At 37.1% G+C, this 26,422-nt stretch overlaps 1 protein-coding gene across 15 annotated transcripts in view; it reads left to right on the top strand.

Annotated features, from left to right (window-relative positions):
- Window positions 1-26,422, top strand: part of FAM169A (family with sequence similarity 169 member A) — an 89,393-nt gene that overhangs the window by 21,850 nt on the left and 41,121 nt on the right. For 10 of the 15 annotated variants that reach the window (NR_164754.1, XM_047417083.1, NM_015566.3 and 7 more), the window contains exons 2-5: window positions 3,438-3,572; window positions 4,944-5,043; window positions 6,067-6,152; window positions 10,520-10,691. The exons of 1 other annotated variant lie outside the window; for it this stretch is intronic. Coding sequence is in view for 11 of the 14 variants with exons in the window: in XM_047417083.1 (XP_047273039.1) it covers window positions 3,438-3,572; window positions 4,944-5,043; window positions 6,067-6,152; window positions 10,520-10,691 (493 nt within the window). In the remaining 3 variants the exon portion in view is untranslated. Of the gene's footprint in view, window positions 1-3,437; window positions 3,573-4,943; window positions 5,044-6,066; window positions 6,153-10,519; window positions 10,692-26,422 lie in introns of those variants that run through there. 4 more of the 15 variants (NR_046462.1, NR_164753.1, NM_001376053.1 and 1 more) reach the window with 3 other exon arrangements.

Genomic DNA, 26,422 nt, shown 5'->3' with positions numbered 1-26,422 from the left:
CGTATGTCAATCCTATCTCTTTTTTTGGTGTTTCTCTGGATTTTCAGTTTCTTGCCTTCTGATACTTTTGTGATAAAATAAGTTTGAAGGTCATTTCAAAGAGGAAAGTAACTTTTAGTTGATCTTCTGCCTTCCCCTTTATAAAACTGTTTTAAATAAAAATTGAAGAGGTTATTGGGTAAATGCCAACTAGGTAACTTTTAAAACAAGATATTCTATACTAACTTTATACTTCCTTTAAGAACTAATAGCTTAGTATTTGATTTAGATCATAAGTTTATTTTTTGTTTTTATTTTTTTGAGACGGAGTCTCACTCTGTCACCCAGGCTGGAGTGCAGTGGTGCGATCTTGGCTCACCGTACACTCCACCTCCCGGGTTCAAGCAATTCTCCTGCCTCAGCCTCCCGAATAGCTGGGACTACAGGCATGTACCACCAGCCAGCTAATTTTTTGTACTTTTAGTAGAGACGGGGTTTCACTGTGTTAGCCAGGATGGTCTCCATCTCCTGACCTTGTGATCCGCCTGCCTCAGCCTCCCAGAGTGTCGGGATTACAGGCGTGAGCCACTGTGTCTGGCCCATAAGTTTATTTTTTATTTAATTTTTTATCATGGAAATTTTTCTTTTCTTTTCTTTTCTTTTTTTGTTTTTTTGTTTTTGTTTTTGAGACAAGGTCCCACTGTGTTACCCAGGCTGGCACGATCATACCTCACTGCGTCATTGAACTCCTGGGCTCAGGTAATTCTCTCACCTCAGCCTCCTGAGTAGCTGGGACTACAGGTGCATACCACCATACCCGGCTAATTTTCATATTTTTGTAGAGCCAAGGTCTCACTGTGTGGCCCAGGCTGGTCTTGATCTTCTGAGCTCAAGTGATCTACATCTACCCTCCTTGGCCTCCCAAAGTGCTGGGATTACAGGCATGAGCCACTGTGCCCGGCCTTGTCATGGAAATTTTCAAGAGTAAATAAATCCGGATACTCTCTGCAGTGCATTGACATGTCTCTTAAGTTACTTTTAATTTATATTTTCTTTCCATCTTACTTTTTTTCTATAAACTCCATGTCATATATTTGGAAGAAACTGAGTTATTCTAAACTTGGTTGACTGCATACTTAAGGCATCATTTAACATATTTCTCTAATGGCTTGGTTAGATTTAGGTCTGATTTTCTTGTTGAATCACATCAGGATGCAGTAGGGTTGTCTCACTTTCAGTAACATTGGTTAGCCTGGGTATATAGACCTAACAACCATGACCACGTAAGTCTACCAGAAAGCTCATGCAGGAGTGCTTATAGCAGCTTTATTCATAATTGCCAAATATTGGAAATAGCCAAATGTTCATCAGCAGTATAATGGGTAAATTAACTGATAGATGCAACAGTGTTCATGTTTCTCACAGAAGTAGTGTTGAGTGAAGAGAGTTAACACAGTAAAGAGCATACTGAATGATTTCAAATATAAGAAGTTCAAAATGAGCAAAATTAATGTCTCATTTAAAAATAAGATAGACCAATGAAATAATACCACCTATTAAAAAAGTCTTTTCCCCGCCAAATGAGATGTCTCCATTATTACATACTCAATTTCCATAGGTATGTGTATTTCTATATCTTGTTCCATTTGTTGATTCACATGCCTGTATCACATTGTTTTAATTATAGAAGTTTTATAAGATGTTTTAATCTCCGACAGGGTGCATTCTTCTAGCTATTTTTGCTTGTCTGTTCTTTCAAATTAATTTTATAATCAACTTTTCTTGCCTCAGGAAAAAATAAAACCTTAAAGGTATTTCATTAGGATTGCATTAAATTAATAGATTATCTTAGGGAGATCCAGTACCTTTATGATGCTGAAGCTTTCTTTCCAAGAACATGGTTTCTCTTTTGTCTTGTTCACTTTCAGGAATGTTTTGTAGTTTTCCTTATATAGATTTTGTACTGTTTCTGTTGTTGAATTTAAGCCTATTTTGATTTTTGCTGTTGTAAATGAGGTCTTCATCTCTATTTATACTTTCTTTTTCTATTTTTACTTTGCTGCCCCCGCCCCCCTTATTTCTTCTTACTGTTACGTTGTATGTATGAAGACTGGTGTCTTTATGTATGCTAATTTTATGTCCTATTTTACTAAATTTTCTTGTTGCTTGGAATAGTTTTTTCATGGATTCTTTTGAATTTTTCAGTTAAGTATATTATTTGCAAATAATAGATATAGCAATAGCTTCGCTTCTACCCTACTCCCACCCCAGTTATTATGCCTCTAATTGCTTTCTCTTGTCTAATTGATCATTGCCTACATAATGTTATATAGTAGTGGAGTCCTTGTTTTTCTAATCTTTAGTGTTAAAACCTTTAGTGTTTCCCCATTAAAATCTTGCTTAAAAAACAAATAACAACAACAAAAAACCCAGCAAGATAGTCCTGGCACAGTGGCTTAGTGTCTGTAATCCCAGCACTTTGGGAGGTCAAGGCAGAAGAATTGCTTGAGCCCAAGAGTTCAAGGTTACATAGAACAATGATTGCACCAATGCACTTAAGCCTGGGTGACAGAGCAAAACTCTATCTCAAAAAAAAAAAAAAGAAAAAAGCTATATATATGAGAATTATAATTTATAATATACCATAATATTCATCTATTGCAAACCGTACAATTCAGTGATTTTTTTTTTTTTTTTTTTTTTTTTTTTTTTTTTTTGTGATAGAGTCTCACTCTTTCACCCAGACTGGAGTGCAGTGGTGCAGTCTTGGCTCACTGCAACCTCTGCCTCCCGGGTTCAAGCAATTCTCCTGCCTCAGCCTCCCCAGTAGCTGGGATTACAGGCATCTGCCACCATGCCTGGCTAATTTTTGTATTTTTAGTAGAGATGGGGTTTCACCATCTTGGCCAGGCTGGTCTTGAACTCCTGACCTCATGATCCACCCTTCCTTGGCCCCCCAAAGTGCTGGAATTACAGGCGTGAGCCACTGTGCCCGCAGTGATTTTTTTTAGATTTTTTTTTTTTTGAAATTTATAGGGTTGTGCAGCTATCATCACAATCCAATTGTAGAACATTTTCATTATTCCAACAAGTTCTCGTGTCCTTTTACAGTGACTTTTATGTTGAGTGGTTTATGAGAGTATATTTATATGTGTATTTTTGTGTGTATGTACATATAAATATGTCTTATGCCTATGTGACCATATTTATTATGTAAGGACGTATCTGTTAATTTATTTCATTGCCTGTTTTTAATACAAATGAATAATGTTTGAAAGTTTTCTTTTTGACATGCATGGTTAAATCAGCAGGTTCAAGTTGTATTCTGCGGGCAAAGTGAAACAGAAAAATCTTGTTATAACAAAATATGGCAACATTGTAGTAAAATTTATTTTCTGTGAGTAAAGGAAGATGGCGTTTCATATTCTGAATTGTTTGTTCCATGTTGTTTGTTAAAGAGGATGGCATTCCCTGTGGATATGCTGGAAAATTGCAGCCATGAGGAATTGGAAAATTCTGCTGAAGATTACATGTCAGATTTAAGGTGTGGGGACCCTGAAAATCCAGAGTGTTTTTCTCTTCTCAATATTACGGTAAGGTGTTCTGCAGTGATTGTCATCAATCTTTTCAGTTCAGTTTATACATGAAATAAATATCCTTTTTTAAAAAAATCATTTTAAGTGTTAATCATTAATTTTTGAAATCTTTACAGAAATCTATTCAGTAAAATGGATAAATATTGGTTGATCAGTTTTTAAAAAGAGAAACTCCACAGGTTATTGCTATTTGACTTTATGGCTTTAAAATTATATGTGAGAATACCACCAGTTTTGCTAAGACTGTTTACTATATTTGAGCTGCTTCAGATTTACTTTAGATTTGGAATTTGTGAGTTTAGAAAATTTTTTAATTAAAAAATCAGCAAAACACTAAATTACATATTTTTTGTGCCATGAATCTTTTCTTCCTTTTTCTAAAAAAGTAAAATCAAATTTTCTAGTCAGTAAATTATAATATTTTGTGATAGATCATTAGACTTGGAACCATTAGGGTTTCACTGTGAACTGTGGTGGACAAATTCCTTAACCTCTCTAGGCCTTAGATTTTTCTTCTGGAGGTGACTTAAAGAATTTTTTAAAGTCTTCCCCAGCACCAATATTTTTATAATTCTCTGAATTGTAATGTTATCTCTAAATAGGGAATAAGTGTTGGATTAAATGAAGGCAAAAAAATGTTAAAGCATATTAGTAGCATGTATCTTCCCAGAAAAATTAATTTACTTGACTGCTTTTTTTTTTGTTTTTTTTTTGAGATGGAGTCTCGGTCTGTCGCCCAGGTTGGAGTGCATTGGCACGATCTTGGCTCACTGCAACCTCTGCCTCCTGGGTTCACGCCATTCTCCTGCCTTAGCCTCCCGAGTAGCTAGGACTACAGGCGCCCACCACCATGCCCGGCTAATTTTTGATATTTTTAGTAAAGATGGGGTTTCACTGTGTTAGCCAGGATGGTCTCGATCTCCTGACCTTGTGATCCGCCCGCCTTGGCCTCCCCAGAGTGCTGGGATTACAGGTGTGAGCCACTGTGCCCGGCCTGCTTTTTTTTTTTTTTTTTAACTAGATAATGGAATATCTTCCTCAAGTAGGCTAAATAACAGATGATAAATTATAGTTGTTTTTTAAATGACTTTATGGGCCATATTATAGCTTTGGTTTTTATTCAGATGTGTGGCTAGATACATAATAATATTTATGAAACAACTTTTCATATTTTCCCTAAGACAATAAAATTATTCCAAAAGGGAAGTCTATCTGATTTACTCTTTTTTTAGAGACTAGAAATAATGTCTCCTATAAAATAAATTAAAATTAACGTAGGAAATATTTACTACTTTGATAAAAGATTGATTTTTTTAATGTATTTTCTTAACAGACTGTTCACTAATCTTTATTAATTTGTCATTTCAGATTCCTATTAGCCTGTCAAATGTAGGCTTTGTACCTCTTTATGGTGGAGATCAGACCCAGAAAATTCTTGCTCTCTTTGCACCTGAAGATTCACTGACAGGTCTCTTTTTGCTTAATTTTTATAAATTAAGGAATTTTTCTCCAAACTGTTAGAAATTTATTTAAAAGGTAGCTACATGAAGGAATTTGGTTTTTTTTTTAAAGTGTTTCAAATTGTAATTTTATTAAAATGTAATTCTTAATTGCTTATAGCTACATGTTTGATGGATGAATGTCTGCTATCACACTGCTATAAAGAACTTCTTGAGACTGGGTAATTTATAATAGAAAGAGATTTAATTGACTCTCATAGCCAGGCACGGTGGCTCATGCCTGTAATCCTAGCACTTTGGGAGGTCGAGGTGGGTGGATCACCTGAGGTCAGAAGTTTGAGACCAGCCTGACCAACATGGTGAAACCCTGTCTCTACTAAAAATACAAAATTAGCTGGGCGTGGTGGCACATGCCTGTAATCCCAGCTACTTTGGAGGTTGAGGCAGGAGAATCGCTTGAACCCAGGAGGTGGAGGTTGTAGTCAGCTGAGATCACACCATTGCACTCTAGCCTGGACAATAAGAGTGAAACTCCATCTCAAAAAAAAAAAAAAAAAAATTAAAAATTGACTCACAGTTCCGCATGGCTGGGGAGGCCACCAGGAAACTTGCAATCATGGCAGAAGGGGAAGCAGGCACGTCTTACATGGTTGCAGGCAAGAGAGAGTGTGTGCGCACGTGTGTGAAGGAGGAACAGTCAAACATTATGAAACCATCAGATCTTGTGATAATGGGACCCCCCCACCCTGACCCATGATCGAATCACCTCTCACCAGGTCCCTCCCTCTACATGTAGGAATTGTGGGGATTACAGTTCAAGATGAGATTTGGGTGGGGATGTAGCCAAACCATATCAGTGAAATAAAAATGGTATAAATGAGGCTACAAAGTACAATATTACTATTTGGTAAGGTTTATATAGATACTCTTAAATATAAAGTATATGGATACTTTATAGTACAATATGGCCTTATTAAGTCTAAAAGTGTACTTTAAAACTCAAGTGTTAATGATTATTTATTCTATTTTAGCTGTGGCACTTTACCTTGCTGATCAGTGGTGGGCTATTGATGATATTGTGAAAACATCTGTTCCTTCAAGAGAGGGGCTTAAGCAGGTAACAAGATCCTCTAATTTTGAGTGTTTCTTTTGAGGCCATTTCACAGTGTTTCCTGTAAACAGTGATAGTTTTTGAGCTCTTCCCCATTTAAAAATAATCAGGTTATATTAAACCCTAGAATTTCATTCTTACGATGAAGCCAGCATTCGGGTTGGGCTTCCTCCATTTTTATGTGATTCTATAAGTATCTGAGATTGGGTGAGGAAGAATGAATACCTATGGGTTAGTTGAGCTTTGGCTACCTTTATCCAAGTTAGCTTCTGATTTTCTTATTTGATAGAGGAAAAGCTAGTTCCCTTTGTGTGATTGTTTAGCTTCTGTCTCTAGGAGAGACTGACCAGGAAACTTGTTTATTAGTAGGGCCTCTTCAGGTGGTCTATATAGTGTTCCTAACAGTGGAATGACCAGGTTCAGGAGAGAGCAAGCTTCCAACCTCGGCAGGGTTATAGTAGAAGGCAGCCAGCTGAAGAACGTTGCAGGAAGGAAGCTGGTTTTCATGCTAGAGATGAAAGGGTTTAAGAGACATCTCTGGTGCTCTAGTTATTGGAGGATAAATAGGACAGGATATGGAAAATCTATAGAAACCAAGATGTAACATATTTGAGGAGGCAGGGCATAATAAAAAAAGATGAAATCTTTGGTGGCTGGAAGAGTGAGATTTATAATAATATTGGAGAAATAGGAAACTGACTTGGTAGAAGTGCATTAGACTTTGCTTACCTAAAAAGAATACTGACTTTTTGGAGAAGCAGTACTATTCATTAATTAAGTATAGAGTGTCTTGTTAATCCTAAAAGAAAGAGAGCCTTAATGAGGATCATGAATTTTTTTTTTTTTTTTTTTTTTTGGGATGGAGTTTCGCTCTTGTCGCCTAGGCTGGAGTGGGGTGCTATCTCTGCTCACCACAACCTCAGCTTCCTGGGTTCAAGCGATTCTCCTGCCTCTGTCTCCCGAGTAGCTGGGATTACAGACATACGCCACCATGCCCGGCTAATTTTGTATTTTTAGTAGCGACGATGTTTCTCCATGTTGGTCAGGCTGGTCTCGAACTCCCGACTTCAAGTGATCCACCCGCCTCAGCCTCCCAAAGTGCTAGGATTACAGACATAAGCCACCACGCCCAGCCAACAGGAGAATGAATTTAACAGAAATATATATGTGTCTTGATATTCTTCCTTTAGAACACTTCTAGGATAGGCCAACTCTGTAAAAACTTGTCAGATTCGCAGGGTTCCAGCTACTGTTCATTTTTTTTGTGGGCAGTTGAACCAGTCAGAAGAAACAAGGAAAGCATATCAAGAAATTTTGATCCTGTTACTCCAATTCACAGAAAAACAAAACTTGATGCTTGCTTAAAGGGGCAGTGGCAGCAGGAAAAAAAGAAACTGAAGAAACTTGCGGGTTACTAGGGTGTTTTTATTTCTTCCCTTTGAGTTGGGAACTTTGAAAGAGATGGGAGGATAAGAGAATAATGCACTTAGTATTATTAAGTATTAGTAACTTTTGGATATTGCATTAATTCTTCAGTGTGCCTTAAGATTCCCAAAGTGGTAGGCCCATCTGCTGAAGGCTCGGAGAATGTGTGTACCTGGTTATCTGCCAGTCTGATATGAAACTTTGAACAGAAACTGAAGGGGAGGAGGGAATTATATCCCTGCATAAAGCTGTAAAATTGGAGGAGTAGATAGCAATAAAGGAGTATAATATGTTCTCAGGAACAGTTCTGATAGTGAAAAGAAGTATGTATGTCAAGAAAATAAGCATTCTGATGTGTTTTAACATGACTGAGGTTTGGCATATTATAGATATGAAGGCTAAAGGATGGAGAAGGAGAAGGGAAAATCTTAATATGATGGTATATTGTAGCTTTTGCTGTTCAAGTGGAGAAACTATGAAACCTCCAGATATGGATTGGGAAAAGAGGAGGAGTCAAAACCAAAAATAAGACTACAACTATGTGGACTCTTTCAGCCTTAGTTACCTTAGGGACAACATTCCCTCTCTTTTTTTTTTTTTTTGACACAGGCTTACTGACGCCCAGGCTGGAGTGCAGTGGCATGATCTCGGCTCACTGCAACCTCTGCCTCCCGGGTTCAAGCAATTCTCCTGCCTTAGCCTCCCGAGTAGCTGGGACTACAGGTGTGTGCCACCTTGCCCAGCTAATTTTTGTATTTTTAGTAGAGATGCGGTTTCGCCATGTTGGCCAGGCTGGTTTCGAACTCTTGACCACAAGTGATCCACCTGCCTTGGCCTCCCACAGTGCTGGGATTACAGGTGTGAGCCACCACTCCTGGCCTACGTTCCCTCTTAAATAGAGAAATCAGTGAAGGGGGACTGCTATTCCAGTCAAATCCTGGCCAGTAAGGAAAAATTGGTTGGTAAAGTTACAGAAGGGTGTAACCCTTTTTGTACTTAACAAACACTTAACTTGGAGCAAGTTGACTTTATTTTTATAAACCTCTCTGTACCTGGAAACTGATGCTCAATTATATGGACGGGAGGTCCTCAGTAGTATGCTGCAAGACTTTGTCCATTGTGTCCTTCATTTTGTCAGTGACTTAGAGGCATGCTTATCAATTCTGCATGTCACTGTGCTGAATGGAGGAGCTAATCTGTGAAGGGCAGAATTAAAAAACAAAGAGAAAGATCTAACATAATAAAATTAAATAGGGAGAAATGTAATACCTATAGGTTCAAAAAATTAACTGTACACCATGAACACCAAACTGAAACAACAGTACGTATGAAAAAGTATTGGGCTTTAATTAATTAGCAGTAAAATCCAGATAAGCAAAAAAGCTAATAAAAACTTTGTTTATATAGAAAAGCCCCATTGTCTCAGCAGCACCTTCAAAATATCTTCATGAAATCCACATCCCGAACATGAAGAGAGATGTTATGGATCTGGAGCAATTTCAAGAGAGAGCACTGAAATGGCAAGAGTACCCCAAATTGTGTTAGATTAGCCTTTTCCTTCATTTATAACCATGTTTAACATTGCTGTGAAATTTAGGGGAACATCATGGCTCTATCTTCAAATATTTATAGGCTATGTGGCTGCAGAATATCAAAATATAGTCTTTGAGAAATAGATTTCAGCTCTGAATAAGGAAGAATTGTTGTTGGTCAGAACTGTGGGTTCAAGGAAGGAATGGGTTGTCTTGGAAGCTATTGCTAGTCGGCTGCTATTTCCTATGTTTGTTATGTGAGATCCCCTGCCAGGGATATTTTTGAGAGTAGTATATGTATATGGTCAATCTTTTCTCTATCCACTGAACTAATTAGAGCCTGAACTTGTTTTAAGAGACCTGGGGGAATATAGGCTTATGTACAGATTTTTTTTTTTTTTTTTTTTTTTTTGAGACACAGTCTCACTCTGTCGCCCAGGCTGGAGTGCGGTGGTGCAGTCACAGCTCACTGCAACCTCAACCTCTTGCGCTCAAGTGATCTTCCCCCTTTAGCGTCCTGAATAGCTGGGACTACAGGTGTGCTCAGCCATACCTGGCTAATGTTTGTATTTTTTGTAGAGACGGGTGGGTTTTGCCATGTTGCCCAGGCTGGTCTCAAACTGAGCTCAAGCGATCCACCCACCTCAGCTTCCCAAAGTGCTGGGATTACAGGCATGAGTCCCCGTACTGGCCTGTGTATCAGGAACACCTCACTATTTGATATCAGAAAGTTCTGAGTGTTGGTGCGGTCCCTGTGACCATGTAGCCCTGTGTGTAGGAAGTGAGACTCTGTTTCTGTTCTATTACTGCCCTAAGTATGTTTTTATTAGACTTCTTTGGTATCCCCGTCTTTGTTGACAGCAAAGATAGGGCTATTAAATGAACATTTTACCAGGAAAAGATGAGACACATTTCTTTCCCAAGAGTGTAATTATGGCTTCCCTCACCAAATGATGTAATTGTTCTTAAAGTGTTCAGGGGATAACACTAAGCTGCCTTTTTTTTTTTTTTTTTAAATGTGGAGACTGAAAAGCAGTTGAAGTAGTTTACTATAGTGAGGGCTGTGATTAGGGTTGGTAAGACCCTGGATCTGGGCAGCTGGAAGCAGAAAGAAGATGGTGAGTGCTGAAAGACATGCTCGGGATTGGTACATTGGGGACCTGTTTTTTGCCCGATTTAGAATTTTGTTGAAAGGCAGTATTCTATGCATAATATGTGTGTGTGGAAATGGATTGTAATCTATGTGAATGATTAGTCTCATCTCTGTGGTAATAAAATGTTTTGCAAATTTTTTTGAATGCATTTGAAGTGCTTTGAATTCCAGTATGAGGTATGGGAGCAGGGAGCAAAGTAAATAGCATCTTGTGATTGATGCATATTATAACTGCTGTGCCTGGTGTTTGACTCTCTTTGTAGGTGAGCACTCTTGGGGAGAGAGTGGTTCTGTATGTTCTGAATCGAATTATTTATAGAAAACAGGAAATGGAGAGAAATGAGATCCCATTCCTGTGTCATAGCAGTACTGATTATGCTAAGATTCTGTGGAAGAAAGGAGAGGCCATTGGGTTTTATTCAGTTAAGCCTACAGGTGAGTCTTTAAAAGTTATTTAAACTGTGTATTATGGAAATCTCTATTTTAGACCCCTCCAACTGTATCAATATCTCTGTTAAATTAATCTCTAGCATGCAAATTGAGGTGATTTTAATTAGTATTTCTTGGGAGTACTTTGATTCTACCATCCTATGACAGTGAGGATTGTTGGGAAAGTGTTTTGAAAAAACAAAATAAAAATAAACATTTGATCCCGAAGAAGATTTCTCCATATATATGGAGACACAGTTGTACGTTGAACCTCATATTTGTCTATCTTCTAGCCCTCACATTTCCAAAAGTTGTTGTTTACTTTGATTCCTGTTGCTGTTACTGTTACAGGTTCCTTCTAAAACCCCAGTCTACCTGTGGCCCAAATGCATAGCCTGTTTATGCATAGCACACCTCATTCAGCCTGACATATGAAAGAGCAACTTGGCTAATTACCAAGAAAAACAAAATGCTTTAATATATTTAGTAAATACAAACAGCTTTGAAATTGTTAGTCTAAAGTTTGGGTTTCTGATCGTAAGAGCCAGCTATACCCTATCCTTAAAAAATAGTGCAACCTCATACCTGCTTTACCTGTACTCCCATTCATTCAGCTCCCTAGAGCAGCTGGAGCCAGGAAGCTCTAACCTACTTACTCTGTGTACACATACAATCCACACCTTGTGACCATCAAAGAACAAAGTCTGCCTTGTTTTGTACCTTGACCAAAAGACCTTTCACAGAGAATACACTTAGTTTCTTTTTATTTCCATTTCAGATTTTCCAAACTTAGTTCTTCTGGTCACATCCAGTCTAAAGATCCTACCAAATTCACTGCTGATCTAATGAACAGTTGTGACTGATACCTTGATCCCATAATTAGTACACATTTGTGATGAGAATTAGTGCGTATAGTCCATAAAAGGAAGGTCATTTTTTCCCAAGAATAAAAAACTGATGTGCAGTTTAAAATGGTTTTTCTTTAGGTAAATACTTTGGGTGCCCTTTATTGTCTCTGTTCTTGTATAAATTTGAAATAGAACCAGTAACTTTTGTAACTTCAGAAAAATACTGATTATACATGAGGAGAAAGAGTTTTCAATGGAAATTTAGTGTGCATTGCAGAGAAGACATCACTTTGTTGTTTTTAAATGTTTTAATGTTTGCAGTTGGGGTGTGAATTAATTGCTTTGTGATTTATTTTATATAAGGCAATTCCTGTGGGAATTGGAGGCTTTTTGTTTCTAATACTGGCTCCAGGGGAGTTTCCTACCTGATAGACATTTGGAGCATAACTAGTTTATACTTTTGTATTGAGGGCTTCTTTCTATGAAAGACACACAAAGGCACAGCCTTCCTATTTAGTGTTTCTGATCAGTATTTAACTGCAGGAGTGTGCTCTTCTTATTATGCATGTTGAGGCTCCTTCTCTGGCACCTAGCCTCTATTTCTGCTTGTTCTGGTAGTTAACTATTTTATAGCATTGAGTTTCCAGGTGCTACTGTATCTGCCACTTTTAGTCCCTTCCATATATCTCTAATTGTCTTACATCTTTACTATTTTAGTTCTTTCCCCGTTGTACCAGATAACAATGGAGTTAAGTGGGCTTATACTAGCCTTTGAATCAGTAGCCATTTAATTCAGGCTGGAAGTGTTTTTTCTACAAAGGAAACCTAAACATAATTTAAATATTTTAGAGAAATTGTCCAGAACAAATACTAAACACCTTGTGATGGAAGTATTTCTGATATGTGTGTGTATATATATATAAATAAATGTTATATTTATATATATAAAGTATATAAACATACAACGTATGTATTTATATAAACATATTTCATATATATACTGATATGTATGTAATATTTTTTTCTACACTAGTAGCAAAAAGATAAAATCTTTATTAAGAAGATTTGTAGTTGAGTGAAAGTCTTGTGAAATCATTTATTATTTATGATTTTTAAAATAGCAAATAAGTTTATGGGGCTATTAGGACATAGAATAGCCTTGATAGAAAAAGGAGACTTTGTTTATGAGGTCAAATTCTCTTACAGTACAATGAAATTCAAGAAACTATGTAAATTCTTCTTTGCCTGAAATAGATCACTGTGAGAGACTTACAGTTTGTTTGTTTTTTGGGTTAGGTAGATAGTTTTCTTATAAAGATATTTGTGTTTTTTTGGTTGTTTTTTTCTACTGTTATTTTAATGTAGTGAGCTCATTTCTTTAAGGTGTGTTTCATTTTTTCTCATTATTTATATGATGTTTTATATTTTCAAACAATTCTGCAAAAGCACCAAATGTTTCAAACCTAGTCTTTCAAATGAAGTAAAAAAAATTTTTAAATTAGTGTTTATTTTGCAGTTGAAGGAAAGCTTCAGAAAATAGTTGCTTGTGGTTCCTGAATTTATCTTAATTTATTGGTAAAATAAGTTTTTACTTCCTTGACCAACAGTTGTTTACTTAACGTAATTGATTCTTTCATCAAATATTTTTGAAAAAGAACATTGAGTGAGATTGAAGGTATTGTTACTGATTTCAAGTCATGGTTAATTCTTGAGATCTGTCCGTGTCTCATAATGTTTTTAGTTATGATGGCTGGTTCAAATCTGTGCTTAAGCTCTAGGGAGGAAGCAGAACAAAGCAAAATGATTTATAACTTGACGTATACCACACTCCTCACAAGTCGAGGACAGTGAAAGGATTCATAAGAAATTTGAAAATACACAGATTGAATATCTCTAATCTGAAAATTTGAAATCCAAAATGCTCCAAAATTTGAAACATTCTGAGCGCCAACAAGACCCTCAAAGGAAATGCTTGTTGGGGCATTTCAGATTTTGGATGTTTGGATTAGGGTTGCCCAACAAGAAAGGAAAATGCAAATATTCCAACATTCCCCCCAAAATCTGAAATCCAGTCACTTCTGGTTCTCAGCATTTTGGGTAAGGGTTATTCAATCTGTACCTTAGTTACTCTCTATTCTTTTTCATTTGCATACCTCAAGACTGCTGATGAGTTTGAGTTTGAAGAAATTATTAATGAAATAATTGGGACAGCTTTTTCAGACAAGTCAATCTATTCTTTAGAAACTTCGCTATTTAGTCTACTGTACAACTCAGAAATTATCGTAAGACAAAATCAAGCATTAGTATCAAAGAGATTTTGGGTTTTGTTATAGTATTGCTATTAACTTGTAAGTTGTGTAGCAGTCTTTTTTTGGCTTTTACTTTTCTCCTTTAAATAAGGGAATTAGGCTTGACCACAGATGATCGTTGAGACTTCTTTTGGCTCTAAAGTTTTCTGAATTCTGTGGTTAGAAGTGGGGACTGTCTGTGGGCAGAAATCCTTGGTCTCAGGTCTGGCTTTCAAAAGAAAAGTTGAATTTAAGAGAAAGGTTGTTAAGTTGAAAGACTATGATAGATAGTAAAGGAAGATTTATTTCTTGGAGTCTTGAGAAGAGAAGATTCAATAAGAGTAAATGCAGGTAGTGTTTTGTCATCAAAGCCCCAGTGTATGACCCTGAGACATTATGCTATATAGGAATAAAGATTATTTCTCAATAGGCGAAATTATGAAAATGCAAAACTCTTCAGCTACTCATTTATATATCAATATTTTGGGTCAAATGCTTTTATGATTTATTCTTAGTAGGTTAATTTTCAGACATTATAGTTTCAAGTTTGGGCATTATCTTGTTATTCCTTAAATACAGACTGTAAAAATTATGTATTCCCTGTTTAAAAAAAAATAGATATGTGATGTATAGTCATGGTGACAGGTACATGATCTATAGTGAACTGGGATATATGCAGTTTTTTTGAATAACATTTCTAAGGCTAGGAATTATTTAATGATAGTTCCTAATAGTAAACACCCGTTGCATTGTATTTCTCATAATCTCCTGTGTCTATTGGCACCTTCCCCACAATCCACTGGGATAGTTAGTATTTTTTTCTGTAGTTGTCATTATTGCTTAGTGGGATTAGAGCACATCTTCACAGGATCCATAGTTAACAGTCCCTCTACTTATCAAGTTTGGTTTTCATTATCCTTGTCAGTTTTTTAGGCTTGTAGCAACAGATCATGACTAGTAATAAAAGGTATTTATTGAGCACATCATGTTCGACATTGAAGAGTTATAGTTTACTTCTTTCTTTTCCTATATTATAGGTAGTTTTATAGTAATCTGTAATCTTAAGTCAAGTTGCAAGTTCCCCATCATCAAGGGCTTCTCTTTCCTCTCTTTTTATGTTGTTGTGTGAGGGGGATTCTTATCTAGGTAAATGGAATTATTTAATTTTTCTAATATTGTGCTGTTTACTTTTTCCTAATGACCATTAGATTAACAAAGTTGATACAGTAATTACTTTTGGTAGAACATTCAAAATGCTACCACCTTAGGGAATAAATCATTAAGTGATCTGTATTTTATTCCCCATATTTCTTTTTTTTTGAGATGGAGTCTCACTCTGTCACCAGGCTGGCTGGAGTACAGTGGCACGACCTCGGCTAACTTCAACCTCTGCCTCCTGGGTTCAAGCGATTCTCTTGCCTCAGCCTTCTGAGTAGCTGGGGTTACAGGCACGTGCCATTACGCCCGGCTAATTTTGTATTTTTCATAGAGATGGGGTTTCACCATGTTGGTCAAGCTGGTCTCGATCTCCTGACCTCAGATGATCCACCTGTCTTGGGCTCCCAAAGTGCTGGGATTATAGGCGTGAGTCACCACGCCTGTCGGGCTTCTTGTAAAGGGTCGTTTAATTATTTTTTTGAGCTAGGGTCTTGCTCTGTTGCCCAGGCTGGAGTGCAGTTGCGCAATCATGGCTCACTACAACCTCAACCTCCTAGGCTCAATTGATCCACCTGCCTCAGCCTCTCAAGTATTTTAGTTTTCTATTTAAGGAAGGAAATCTTGCTATTACTTTTCTTTGTACCTGTGTTTATATAACTTAATTCATAAAACACGGGCTTAGCAACAAATAGAGATTAGATCTGTGTCATAGGAAAATGACAAATTATTGCCTATCTTGGACCTGCGTGGTGACTTGCATTCACAAGAAACCATAGATGCTAAATCCACAAATACCTTTATCTTATGGCATGGCACTAAAGACTTAAAGGAAAGCACTTGATGAAAGATAATAGAAAATGTTCATGGTTGCAAAATCAGATATTTTATAGTCGTTCCGTTTGAGTACTTCATGTGTAACAAAAACTTACCTGCAAAAATAGTTTATAAAAGGATGAAAACTGCAGAGAAAGCCTTTTTATGACACAGAAGGGAGCGTAAAAGAAGAAAAAATTGTTCTATACTGAGTTTTACAATAATTGCTATACTAAGTTATGTAATATTTTTAGTTTATTCAGGACACCGTTCAAAATTCATTGACCTCAGGCGTAGAACTTTGTATTCAAAGTCTGTATAAGTCATACATGTACTCTTGCAAACTTTTCTCAGAATTTTGTAGTGAAAATTTGGATGGCATGTTGAGGAGTTTATATTGCTAGTGGTAGGCAGGGTGTGGCTATAGTGCTAATGCTTTGGTTAAAGAGGGTGGGTTGAACACGTGCCTCAGCCTCTACTCTCTCTTGCAAACACCACCAGAATGACACCAAAGACATTTTTAAACAGCATAAATCCCACATGACGAAGTGAGTAAGAGGAGAGTGTAACAGCAACAAAACTTTATAATCTGGGAAAAGGGTAGATTATGTAGTAACTGAATCCTAAGATGCCATTGCCCAAGGCAGGAAGCACCACATTTATATTTTAGAACCTTTAAAAAGTTCAGTCATTATAACACTAGCTACTTCTGGGAGGTGGAGCCTTAGAAAAGGATTGGCTGAAAGTTCCTTCCCTAATGCAGCACAGCTGGACAGTTACCCCAGCCTTGCTCTGGGAAAAGACCTGCTCCTGGGGGCACATGGAGACTTTCAGGTATGGTGGCAACATTTGTGTTAGGGAATAAATTATCTTCCTTCTCCCATTTTACAAAATGAAGGTATATCTTTCATCTAACCTTTATCTTGCTAATCTGGAGTTGTAAAAAGGTCTGGAAGTCCCACTTTAAAAAAAGAAAAAAGAAGGCAGGGAGAGGCCTCTAAATAGTTTTGTAGTAGTGTAAAAGTGACTGGATATAATTAGATGATATTCTTTTGTAAGTCAGGTGGTTTCTATTTGTTTTCAACAAAAATGAAAGAGGATTTGAGTTGTGTTTAATAATGCCAGATTATTAAAGATAATTTTTTATAATAGATCACTGTGTGATATGTGGCACATAACTAAGGACACTTACATTGCTATAACGAAGGGTTTTCTGGTTCCTTCTTATTTGAACAAGGTTCTTAAGCACTTATATCTATAAAAATAAAAAATAGGAATAGGATTAATGCTGAACTTTGTCTCATTCTGGTAGTAAGTAATTCATGAACTCATAAACTAATTAAAAAATGATACACTCCAGGCCAGGCATGGTGGCTCCCTTCTGTAATTCCAGCACTTTGGGAGGCCAAGGTGGGCAGATCACCCGAGGTCAGGAGTTCAAGATGAGCCTAGACGACATGGTGAAACTCCGTCTGTACAAAAAAAAATACAAAAATTAGCCGGGCATGATGGCGGGTTCCTGTAATTCCAGCTACTCAGGAGGCTGAGGTGGGAGAATCGCTTTAACCCGGGAGGTGGAGGTTGCAGTGAACCGAGATTGCACCATTGCACTCCAGCCTGGGTGACAGACACTCCATCTCAAAAAAAAAAAAAAAGATAAGCTCCATCTATTTCATTAACAGTTGTATTTAAAATAATATTTGGTTTTATTTTGCTTAGTAATTAGTTTTCCCGATATATGTGTTTTGATTTGTTGTATACTAATATAATAATTATAATAATTCCAAATTTCTTTTGGATCAATACTTAGAACATTAGGATCACAAGATATTTTTAGAATTTATATACAAATATATTCTTGTAGAGAAAAATGATTGGATAATCAGTAAACTTCCATGCATAAAAATATTACATCAGGATAACATTCTGTGGAATAAATATCATAGAAATATTAGTGCAAGGAGAAGAAGGAGCAGTGTAAAACTGTTAAGGAATAGTTTGTTCAATGGATGGTAACAGTTACCAGATTGATTATAGTTTCTAGAGTCCATTTGATACATATAAAAGAAGGGTGTAATAGTTTTGTTTTTCTTTAAGTCAATGTTATTTATTAACTGCAAAGGGAAAAATGGTAAATTTACACAGAGAAACCTGGCAGGTACCATGTTAACCAACAGATTATGGTTAACATCACTAGTAATAAGACATATCAACATCATGTATCCCATGATATATGATGTACTGAGAAGGGCACAGTATCATTCTGTAGCATTTTTGCCCAAAATTTATGATCTCAGTTCATTCATGAGAAACCATTAGACAAAGCCAAATTAGGAGAGTTATTCTATAAAGTAACTGACAATCAGCCATAGTGTCAAGGTTATGAGTGACAAGGGGAGATGGAGGAATTATCGAAGACCAGAGTTTAGGGATATATTAAACTAAATGCAGGAAGGAATTCTGGATTGGATTCTGAAACAGAAAAGAACATTAGTGGAATAATGTGTGAAATTTGAATAAAGTCTGTAGTTTAGCTAACAGTATTATAGCAATGTTAATTTCCTGGTTTTGATAATAGTATTTTGGCTATATAGGATGTTAACATTAGGGTGAAGGGTATATGGGAGCTCTTTGTAATGTTTTTGTGACTTTTCTATAAGTCTACAATTGTTTTTAAAATAGTTTTTTAAAAGTCAACAATATGTCAGAAATAACATCTTCTGTAATTATTGATTGAAACTTAGATGAAAATTTTTAGATATCACAAGGATGTGTGAATATATGGTATTTCAAAATTATTTTATGGCTACATGAGCAAAAACGTCTCCTTTGAGGAGTTTGACTAGGCCAAAAGAAAAAAGAAACTAAAAATACCAATATAAATGGTTCCCCTAGGAAAGGCTCCAGCCATATCATCCTGCTGTGAGGTCCATTGCCAGCAAGCCCCACCATACACACAGAGCTTCTAATTAGCTTTTTAATATCTCATTCTTAATTATGAACAGATAGTCATAGGTAAGGAAGGCCACTGATGTGAAAAATGGTGATTAAAGCAAAAGAGAGTAAAAGAGATTTGGAGGAGAAGACAATGCAAAAAATGTGGCCCTTAAAATTTTTGGAAAAGTTAGTCATTGCATTTATGAAATAAGAACAAGAATGTTCACAGAGCTCTTAGAAACTAAAACAAATCCAATAGAGTTGGAGGAGGTTGATCAGAAAGGAGTGCAGAAACAACAAAAAACAAACCTAAATGATGGTAAATAGGAAGAGATGATAAAATTAGAGGGATTATTTAAATAATACATGTTTCAGGAGGAGAGAACAAATTGGAGGAGAAAAAATCACCAATAAAATAATTCACTAACATTTCTCAGAACTGTAGAACACACATTTCCAGATTAAAAGGGCCCATTGAGCATCCATCACAATGAATTAAGATACACTCATACCAAGATTATTGTGAAATTTCAGAGCATCTGGAATAGAGAAAAGATTTTGAAAGCCTCCATAAAGTGAGAGAATGATTTAGACAAAAGATCAAGAATCAAAACGTTACTAGAGTTCTCAACAGCAACATGAATACTAGAAGTGGAATAATGCCTTTAAGATACCAAGGGTAAAGTGATTTCCAGTGTGTTCTGTGCCCCGTCAAATTAATAAAGAGTGAGAGTGAAAGAAGGAAATTTCTAGACTGTCAGTCTTAAAACAATTTACCTTTTATATACCCCTTTTCTGGAAGTGAGTAGAGTTTGTGCTCTCCTAAGATAAAGAAAATCAAGAAGGAAAGATGGGATTAGGAAACTAAGAGAGAAAAGAAAGGAGATCCAACATCACAGCTATGTCAGTTGTGGAGCTGCTCTTTGTTAAAACCACTAGCTTTATGTGGCTGTTGAAGTTAAATTTTAAAATTCAGTTTCTCAGTCATGCTGGCCACATTTTAAGAGCTCAATGGCCACATGTGACTAGTGGCTACTGCATTGGACAGAGTAGATACAGAACTTTTCCATCATTGCAGAATGATCTTTTGGACATTTCTTTTTCTAAAGATTGACTGATCTAGATTGGAGCAGATCACAAAGCTCTGGGACGTTGATTTAAGAAGATAGAGTTCATAGAATACCTGATGTATTTGAATTTATTGGGATAAGATTTACATAGTTACTGGAGACTTTGGAGGATGAGAGAGATAGTAATAAATATTATTAAGGGAAATCAAAAAGTGTAAGAATAAAGATAAAAATAAACATTCATGGTACACTATATGGCTCAGTTGTCAAAAGCATTTATATAGTCATAATGTAAATACTGAAAATTGATCTAACAAATCACAAATTACTATTTAGGGGTGTTGGGGTTTTTTGTATGGGAAGTGTGTTTATGTTGGAGTTGAGATTGGGGTGTGTGAATGTATTTAAGAGCTAAATTCTCACCTTCCAAGTTCTAGCTATCTATGCCTAAAATGGAAAAATGAAGAAATAGAAATCAAGAGGTATAGTAAGTTACTTAGAGAAGTAGAAGTAAATACCGAAAATATCAGCTAAATGACTTCAAAATGGTTGCTTTTGGGGTGTAGAAAGTGTGTTTGTGTGTGTGTATGTGTGTGTGTGTGTGTGTGTATGTGTGTGTATCAGGAAAGTGGTCACAGAGCTGCTTTTTTTTTTTCTTAAGTCTTATATGACTATTGTATTCTAAACAATGTTATGGATGACTTTGATTAAAAACAAGAAGTATACATTTAAAAAAATGAGGCCATGTCCAAAGTGTAATCACTATCTACCACAAAACTAGCTGAACTTTATAAATCCTTCTCAGCCTGGAATGATAAGGACTATCTGTTAAAGGGCTGTGCTAATTAGAAGATTAATGAAAAAGTCTCATACAGTTACTAAAATAATACAAAACAAATCACTGGTTAATTCAGTGGAAGTTTTGTGACTTTTGGCCTATATCAAGAAGTATATAAAGATGCAAATTTGTGTAAATAGCATACCGTATTTTAGTGTAGATAAGCTCAGAGAACACAATTGAGGTCACTATCATTAGTCGCTATTTTTGAAGTACTCATTGTTATTTGGCTTCAACTGTCAATTGCCTTGATCCAATTTGAAGACTTAATATTTTGGGGAAGAACAATCTAGTCAACAACTACTATAAGTCAGTTTAGCCCACTACTGAAGGGATTTGTGACCAATACCAGGAAGTGTATTTCTGGTTTTTGTAATCTTCATTTGAGGTGATTTGTAATGGAAGCATTTTTTCTTGTCCACATTTACTCGTCAGCTTTCCTTGTGGCTTCCAGACCTTTTACTAGGGGCTATATCCATGATCTTCCCTACTTTTTTGGACAGATTACTCACTTCCTGTTCACTAAAATTCAGATTTCTGGGCCTTTTAAGGTTATTTTAAGGAATAACAAACATTGTGATGTAAAATTATAAGGATTGATAGTATAGCTAAAAGTGAAACCCAGCTGAATTTTTTGTTGGGAGAGTGTGATTATATTTTAAGGACTTGAGTCTGTCTAGGTGTGATTCTTGTCTTTGGGAAATGTGCAAAGGCATGTGAGAGTCCCGTACTACTCTGTGGCTACCTGAAATGTATCATTGGGAAACGAGATGGCTGCTTTGTTGAGGTGAAGTTCTAGCTATCTGAAAAACCACTTGCTTGCCAATAAGGGTTCTGTTTATTCGAGAGATAGAGTTGACTTTAGTGGAAACACAAAGATGATTTGTCATGGGTTCAGTTCTCAAAGCACCAAAAATCTAGTGGATGAGACAGTAAAACCCACAACATCATAGTCGATAAGCTGTATTATTAGATAATCAAAATTCAGTTTTGTAAGTAATACATTTGAGGTATCAACAATGGCAGTCTTTGAAAGCAAGTAGTTAACTTTGCCTGGAGGGAGGTGTGACTGGGAAAGTGATATTTAAAAGTAGTTTTGAAGGGTAAGTAGTTTGTCAGTAAGAGAAGGGGGAAGGGAAAGAACATTCTTGGTAAACATGAATGGAATATAAATATATGCAGAAGGCAGAGAGTCATGAAAGTTTAGGGCATATTTGGAACTACATCCTGAATAAGGTGGTGGGACTAACAAGTAGGAGAAGTGAAGATGGAGGTCCCATTGCAAAGGATCTTAATTGTCCTACAAAGAAGTGTGGCATTTTATTGGCCAGGAAGCTATCAAATAATTTTATGTAGAAGTAACATGATTAAATATTTTAGGGACATACTGTTTGGAGCACTTGGAAAATTGTATTTTAAAGTCAGGGAAGTCAATTAAAAGAGCTGTTTTAGTAGTTCAGGTGAATGAAGGACCAGAACTAGGAAAGCACCAGTAGGAGTGGAGAAGGGAACATCTGAGGGAGAGTTTCAGGTGGACAGAGTGTGGTAACTCCATAGTGTGTAGGCGGGGAGTGGAGGAACTAGTGATGAATCTGAATGGCTTTGGCTTGGGTGCTTAGGTATTGGTGGGAGGCTGTTAATTAAGATTGGGAATAGAAGAAGAGGAGTAGTTTGATAATACTTTAGTTCAATTTTGACATGGGCATATGTGTCCCTAAGGCATATGTAAGTAGACATAACATAGAAATGTAAGTTGGAGCACATGGAAGAGGTATGGATATTTATGTGGGCCCCAGAATACTTAAAGTAATTTTACAGCGTGGATGAGATCAGTCAAAACTGTTGTATAAAGTGAGTGTATTTGTGAATATTGGTATGAGGAAATGACACTGAAAACAGCCTAAAGTAACCAAACATTACTGGAGGGAGTATTCTGGCAAAAGGTAGTGTCTCCTGAGATGTGACCACTGATGACCTGAGAGTTAACAAGGAAATGTTGATCTGCTGAGAGATAAGAGGAAAGTTAGCTGAGGCTGCTAGCTGTCCATAAAATATTTGTGGTTCATTTTCTATATTCTAGTCATTGGCCAGAGCTGCCCAGTCAGGGATTCTATTTTCCAGTCACTGTTACAACTACATGGGGCTGTGTGACTAGTTCTTTACAAAATAATGAAAAAGATGATGCCTGTGACTTTGCGTCAAAGTGGTTAAGATGCATTCCTTTTCCTCATCTATACAGAGGACTTTGAAGATGTAAGGGATGAGGAAGCCACAGGATAAAAGGAACTTGGTGGCCCTGGTGGACCACACTTCCCAGTATTTACATCCTTGTGTAGCCTGTTTGAATCTGGGCTGGCCCTATAACTTGCTTTAACCAGGAGAATGCATAACACTGTGCTCAGCCTTAAGAAGGCTGGCAGGTTCCACTTTGGCACTCTTAGAAGCTAGTCACCATGTAAGAAATACAACGACCTGGAGACTACTCTGAGGTGAAGAGACCCCAGCAGCTCCATTGAAGAGAACTGAGGCTCTGGCTGACAAGACCAGCTGTTTCTTCCACCTGCAGCCACTACAGACTGTCCCACTGTAGGAGTGAGGCCATTGGATCTTCTGCCATCCCAGTGCCCTAGCTGATGCCCTATGAGAGTTGTGATAAATAGGAAATAAATTTTAGTTCTAAGCCAATATGTTTTGGGCTGGTTTTTAGGCAGCAGTAGGTAACTGAAACAGTTCCTTCATGATTGTGAGGAGGAAACCATCCACTTCCCAGGAACGTGTAACTGTTAATTTGAACAAAAAAGGAACTTTTATTATGTTAAACATTCCAGGTTTGGTTTGTTACGGCAGCTAGCATTGCCTTAACTAATTTATAGAGCATGAAGACTGTAATGAGAATACCTAGTGGTATATGACAGGTTCGCTCATCTGAGGATAATCTGAATTTCTGAATAATCTGAATCTGATAATCTGAATCTGAAATTCACTTTATGTATGTCTTCAATGGAGACAGTCACACACTGATGGCTTCATGAGGTGTTAAGTTTTAAGGGGAGAGAAGGCATATTCCTGGGTGGACAAAGAATGAATGGTGATTCTATGAGAAGAAGCAGCTGCTCAGTTGTGGCAGAATATCTGTTCTTGAATTCAATACATAGACCTGAATGGTGTCGCTGAAATTTATTCATTTATTAAAAAGTTGATCTTAAGTGCATATAGATAGGGAAAGGGAGGCGGGGGAAGTGTGAGAAAGAGCAAGAGGAAGAAATTGAGAGATAGTCATAGATATTTTATAAGCTCTGTCCTCTTAGAACTTAGATTTTAGAAGGAGACATAGCAATGAATGGACAAGTAGATGATATGCTGTCAGATGATGTGAAGACAACCAAAGTAAATTAAAAGAATAGAACGTGTGGGACAGCAGGTACTATTTTAAACGGAATAGTTAGGGGAAGTCTCTCTGAATGAAGTGATGGAATAGTGAGATCAGGAGAAGAAATTTTCAGGCAAAGAGCTGAAAATGCAGAAGCCCTGAGGCAGAAACAAGTTTGGGATACTTCAGAAATAGTAAGAGCAGTGTGGCCAGAGTATAGTGATTGATATGGATTAGGAGAGAGGCAGGGACTGTATCCTGAAAGGTTTTTTAGGCCAAAGAAAGAATTTGAATTTTTTTCTGCAGGTGATGGGAAACTATTGAAGGGTTTTGGGTATAGGAGTAACATCTGGTTTGTCTTTTAAAAAGGCAAATCTGGCTGCTCTGTGGGAAACTGGGTGCAGGGGTTCTGGGTGCTGCAGAGATGGCAGGGTTGAGTTCAGCTAGCTAAGAGGCTGTTGTAGAAGCCCTGGTGAGAGGTGACAGTAGCTTAGACAAGGGAGATGGGGTAGAGGTGGTAAGAAGTGATCATGTTTGAGATTAGTTATGAAGTGATTCCTGCAGGATTTCTGATGGATTGTACGTGGGCTGTGAAGGAAGAGTCAAACATGAGTTCCTAGAGTGGGCGAGTAGGGGCGAGGTTTACTAAAAAATTGGTAAACTAGGTAGAGTAGGTTTTGGGGCTGTCTGCAAAATCTGGTTATAAATGGTTTATTGGAGTCACTTGTAAGTTGATATTTTGTTTTTACATTTTTAACAACTACCTGAGATATTCATATACCATACAATTCACCCATTTAAAATATACAATTCAGGCTGGGTGCGGTGGCTAATGCCTGTAATCCCAACACTTTGGGAGGCTGAGGTGGGTGGATCACCTGAGGTTAGGAGTTTGAGGCCAGCCTGGCCAACACAGTGAAACCCCATCTCTACTAAAAATACAAAAAATTAACTGTGTGTGGTGCTGCATACCTGTAATCCCAGCTACTAGGGAGGCTGAGGCATGAGAATTGCTTGAACCCAGGAGGTGGAGGTTGCATTGAGCCAAGACGGCCCAGTGCACTCCAGCCTGGGCAACAGAATGAGACTCTGCCTCAAAAAAAAAAAAAAAAAAAAGGATACAATTCAGTTTTTAAAAATACATTCACAGAATTATGAAACCATTACCACAGCTAATTTTAGATAATTTTCATCCCTCCGCTAAAGAAACTCTGTTCATTAGCAGTCTCTCCCCATTTCCTCCTCACTCCTAGGCCCCAGCCCTCAACAACCACTAATCTATTTTATATGAATAATATGTGACTTTTTGTGTCTGGCGTCTTTTGTTTAGCATAACATTTTTAAGTTTTATTCATATGGTAGCATGTATCAGCACCTTATTCCTTTTTATGACCAAATAGTATTACCTTGTATAGATACACCAGTTTTGTTATCAGTTGATAAATAACAGTTTGGGGTTGTTTCTGTTTTTTGTCATTGTTGCTATTTTGAACAATGCTGATATGAACAATTGTATACAAGTTGTTGTTTGGACATGTCTTCAAGTCTCCTGGAGTGTGTATGTAGTTGTGGAATTGCTGGGTCATATGGTAACTCCGTTTCGCCTTTTGAGAAACTGCCAAACTGTCTTCCATAGAGACTGTACCATGTTACATTCCCACCAGCAATGTGTGAGGGTTGCAGTTTCTCCACATCTTAGCCAACACTTGCTATTTGTCCTGTTGATTATAGTTCACCTAGCAGATACGAAGTAGCCGTGCCATTGTAATTTTGATTTGCATTTTCCTGGTGGCTAAGAATGTTGAGCATCTTTTTGCGTGCTTATTGGCCATTTGTGTATCTTCTTTGAATAGAAATATTTCAAATAATTTGCCTTTTTTTTTTTTTTCTTTGAGACGAGTTTTGCTCTGTCACCCAGGCTGGAGTGCAGTGGTGCAATCTCAGCTCGCTGCAACCTCTGCCTCCTGGGTTCAAGTGATTCTCCTGCCTCAGCCTCTTGAGTAGCTGGGGTTATAGGTGTGTGCCACCACGCCCAGCTAATTTTTGTATTTTTAGTGGAGACGGGTTTTGCCATGTTGGCCACGCCGGTCTTGAACTCCTGACCACAGGTGATCCGCCCACCTTGGCCTCCCAAAGTGTTGAGGTTACAGGCGTGAGCCTCCGCGCCTAGCCATCGTTTGTCATTTTTAATTGGGTTGTTTTAAAAACATTTTTCCCAGCCTTATTGTGATATAACTGACATACGAAAACCTGCCCATATTTAAAGTTGAAAATTGTGCTTTGACATATATATATATATATATATAGAGAGAGAGAGAGAGAGAGAGAGAGAGAGAGAGCTGTGAAACCGTCACCACAATCAAGATAATAAACGTATCTGTAATCTTGTCTTTGCCCTTTTGTAATCTATTCCTC

Source organism: Homo sapiens, chromosome 5, assembly GCF_000001405.40.
Source record: "Homo sapiens chromosome 5, GRCh38.p14 Primary Assembly".
NCBI lineage: Eukaryota > Metazoa > Chordata > Mammalia > Primates > Hominidae > Homo > Homo sapiens.
Note: the sequence above shows the minus strand (reverse complement) of the source record. Positions and strands in the feature narration are given on the sequence as shown.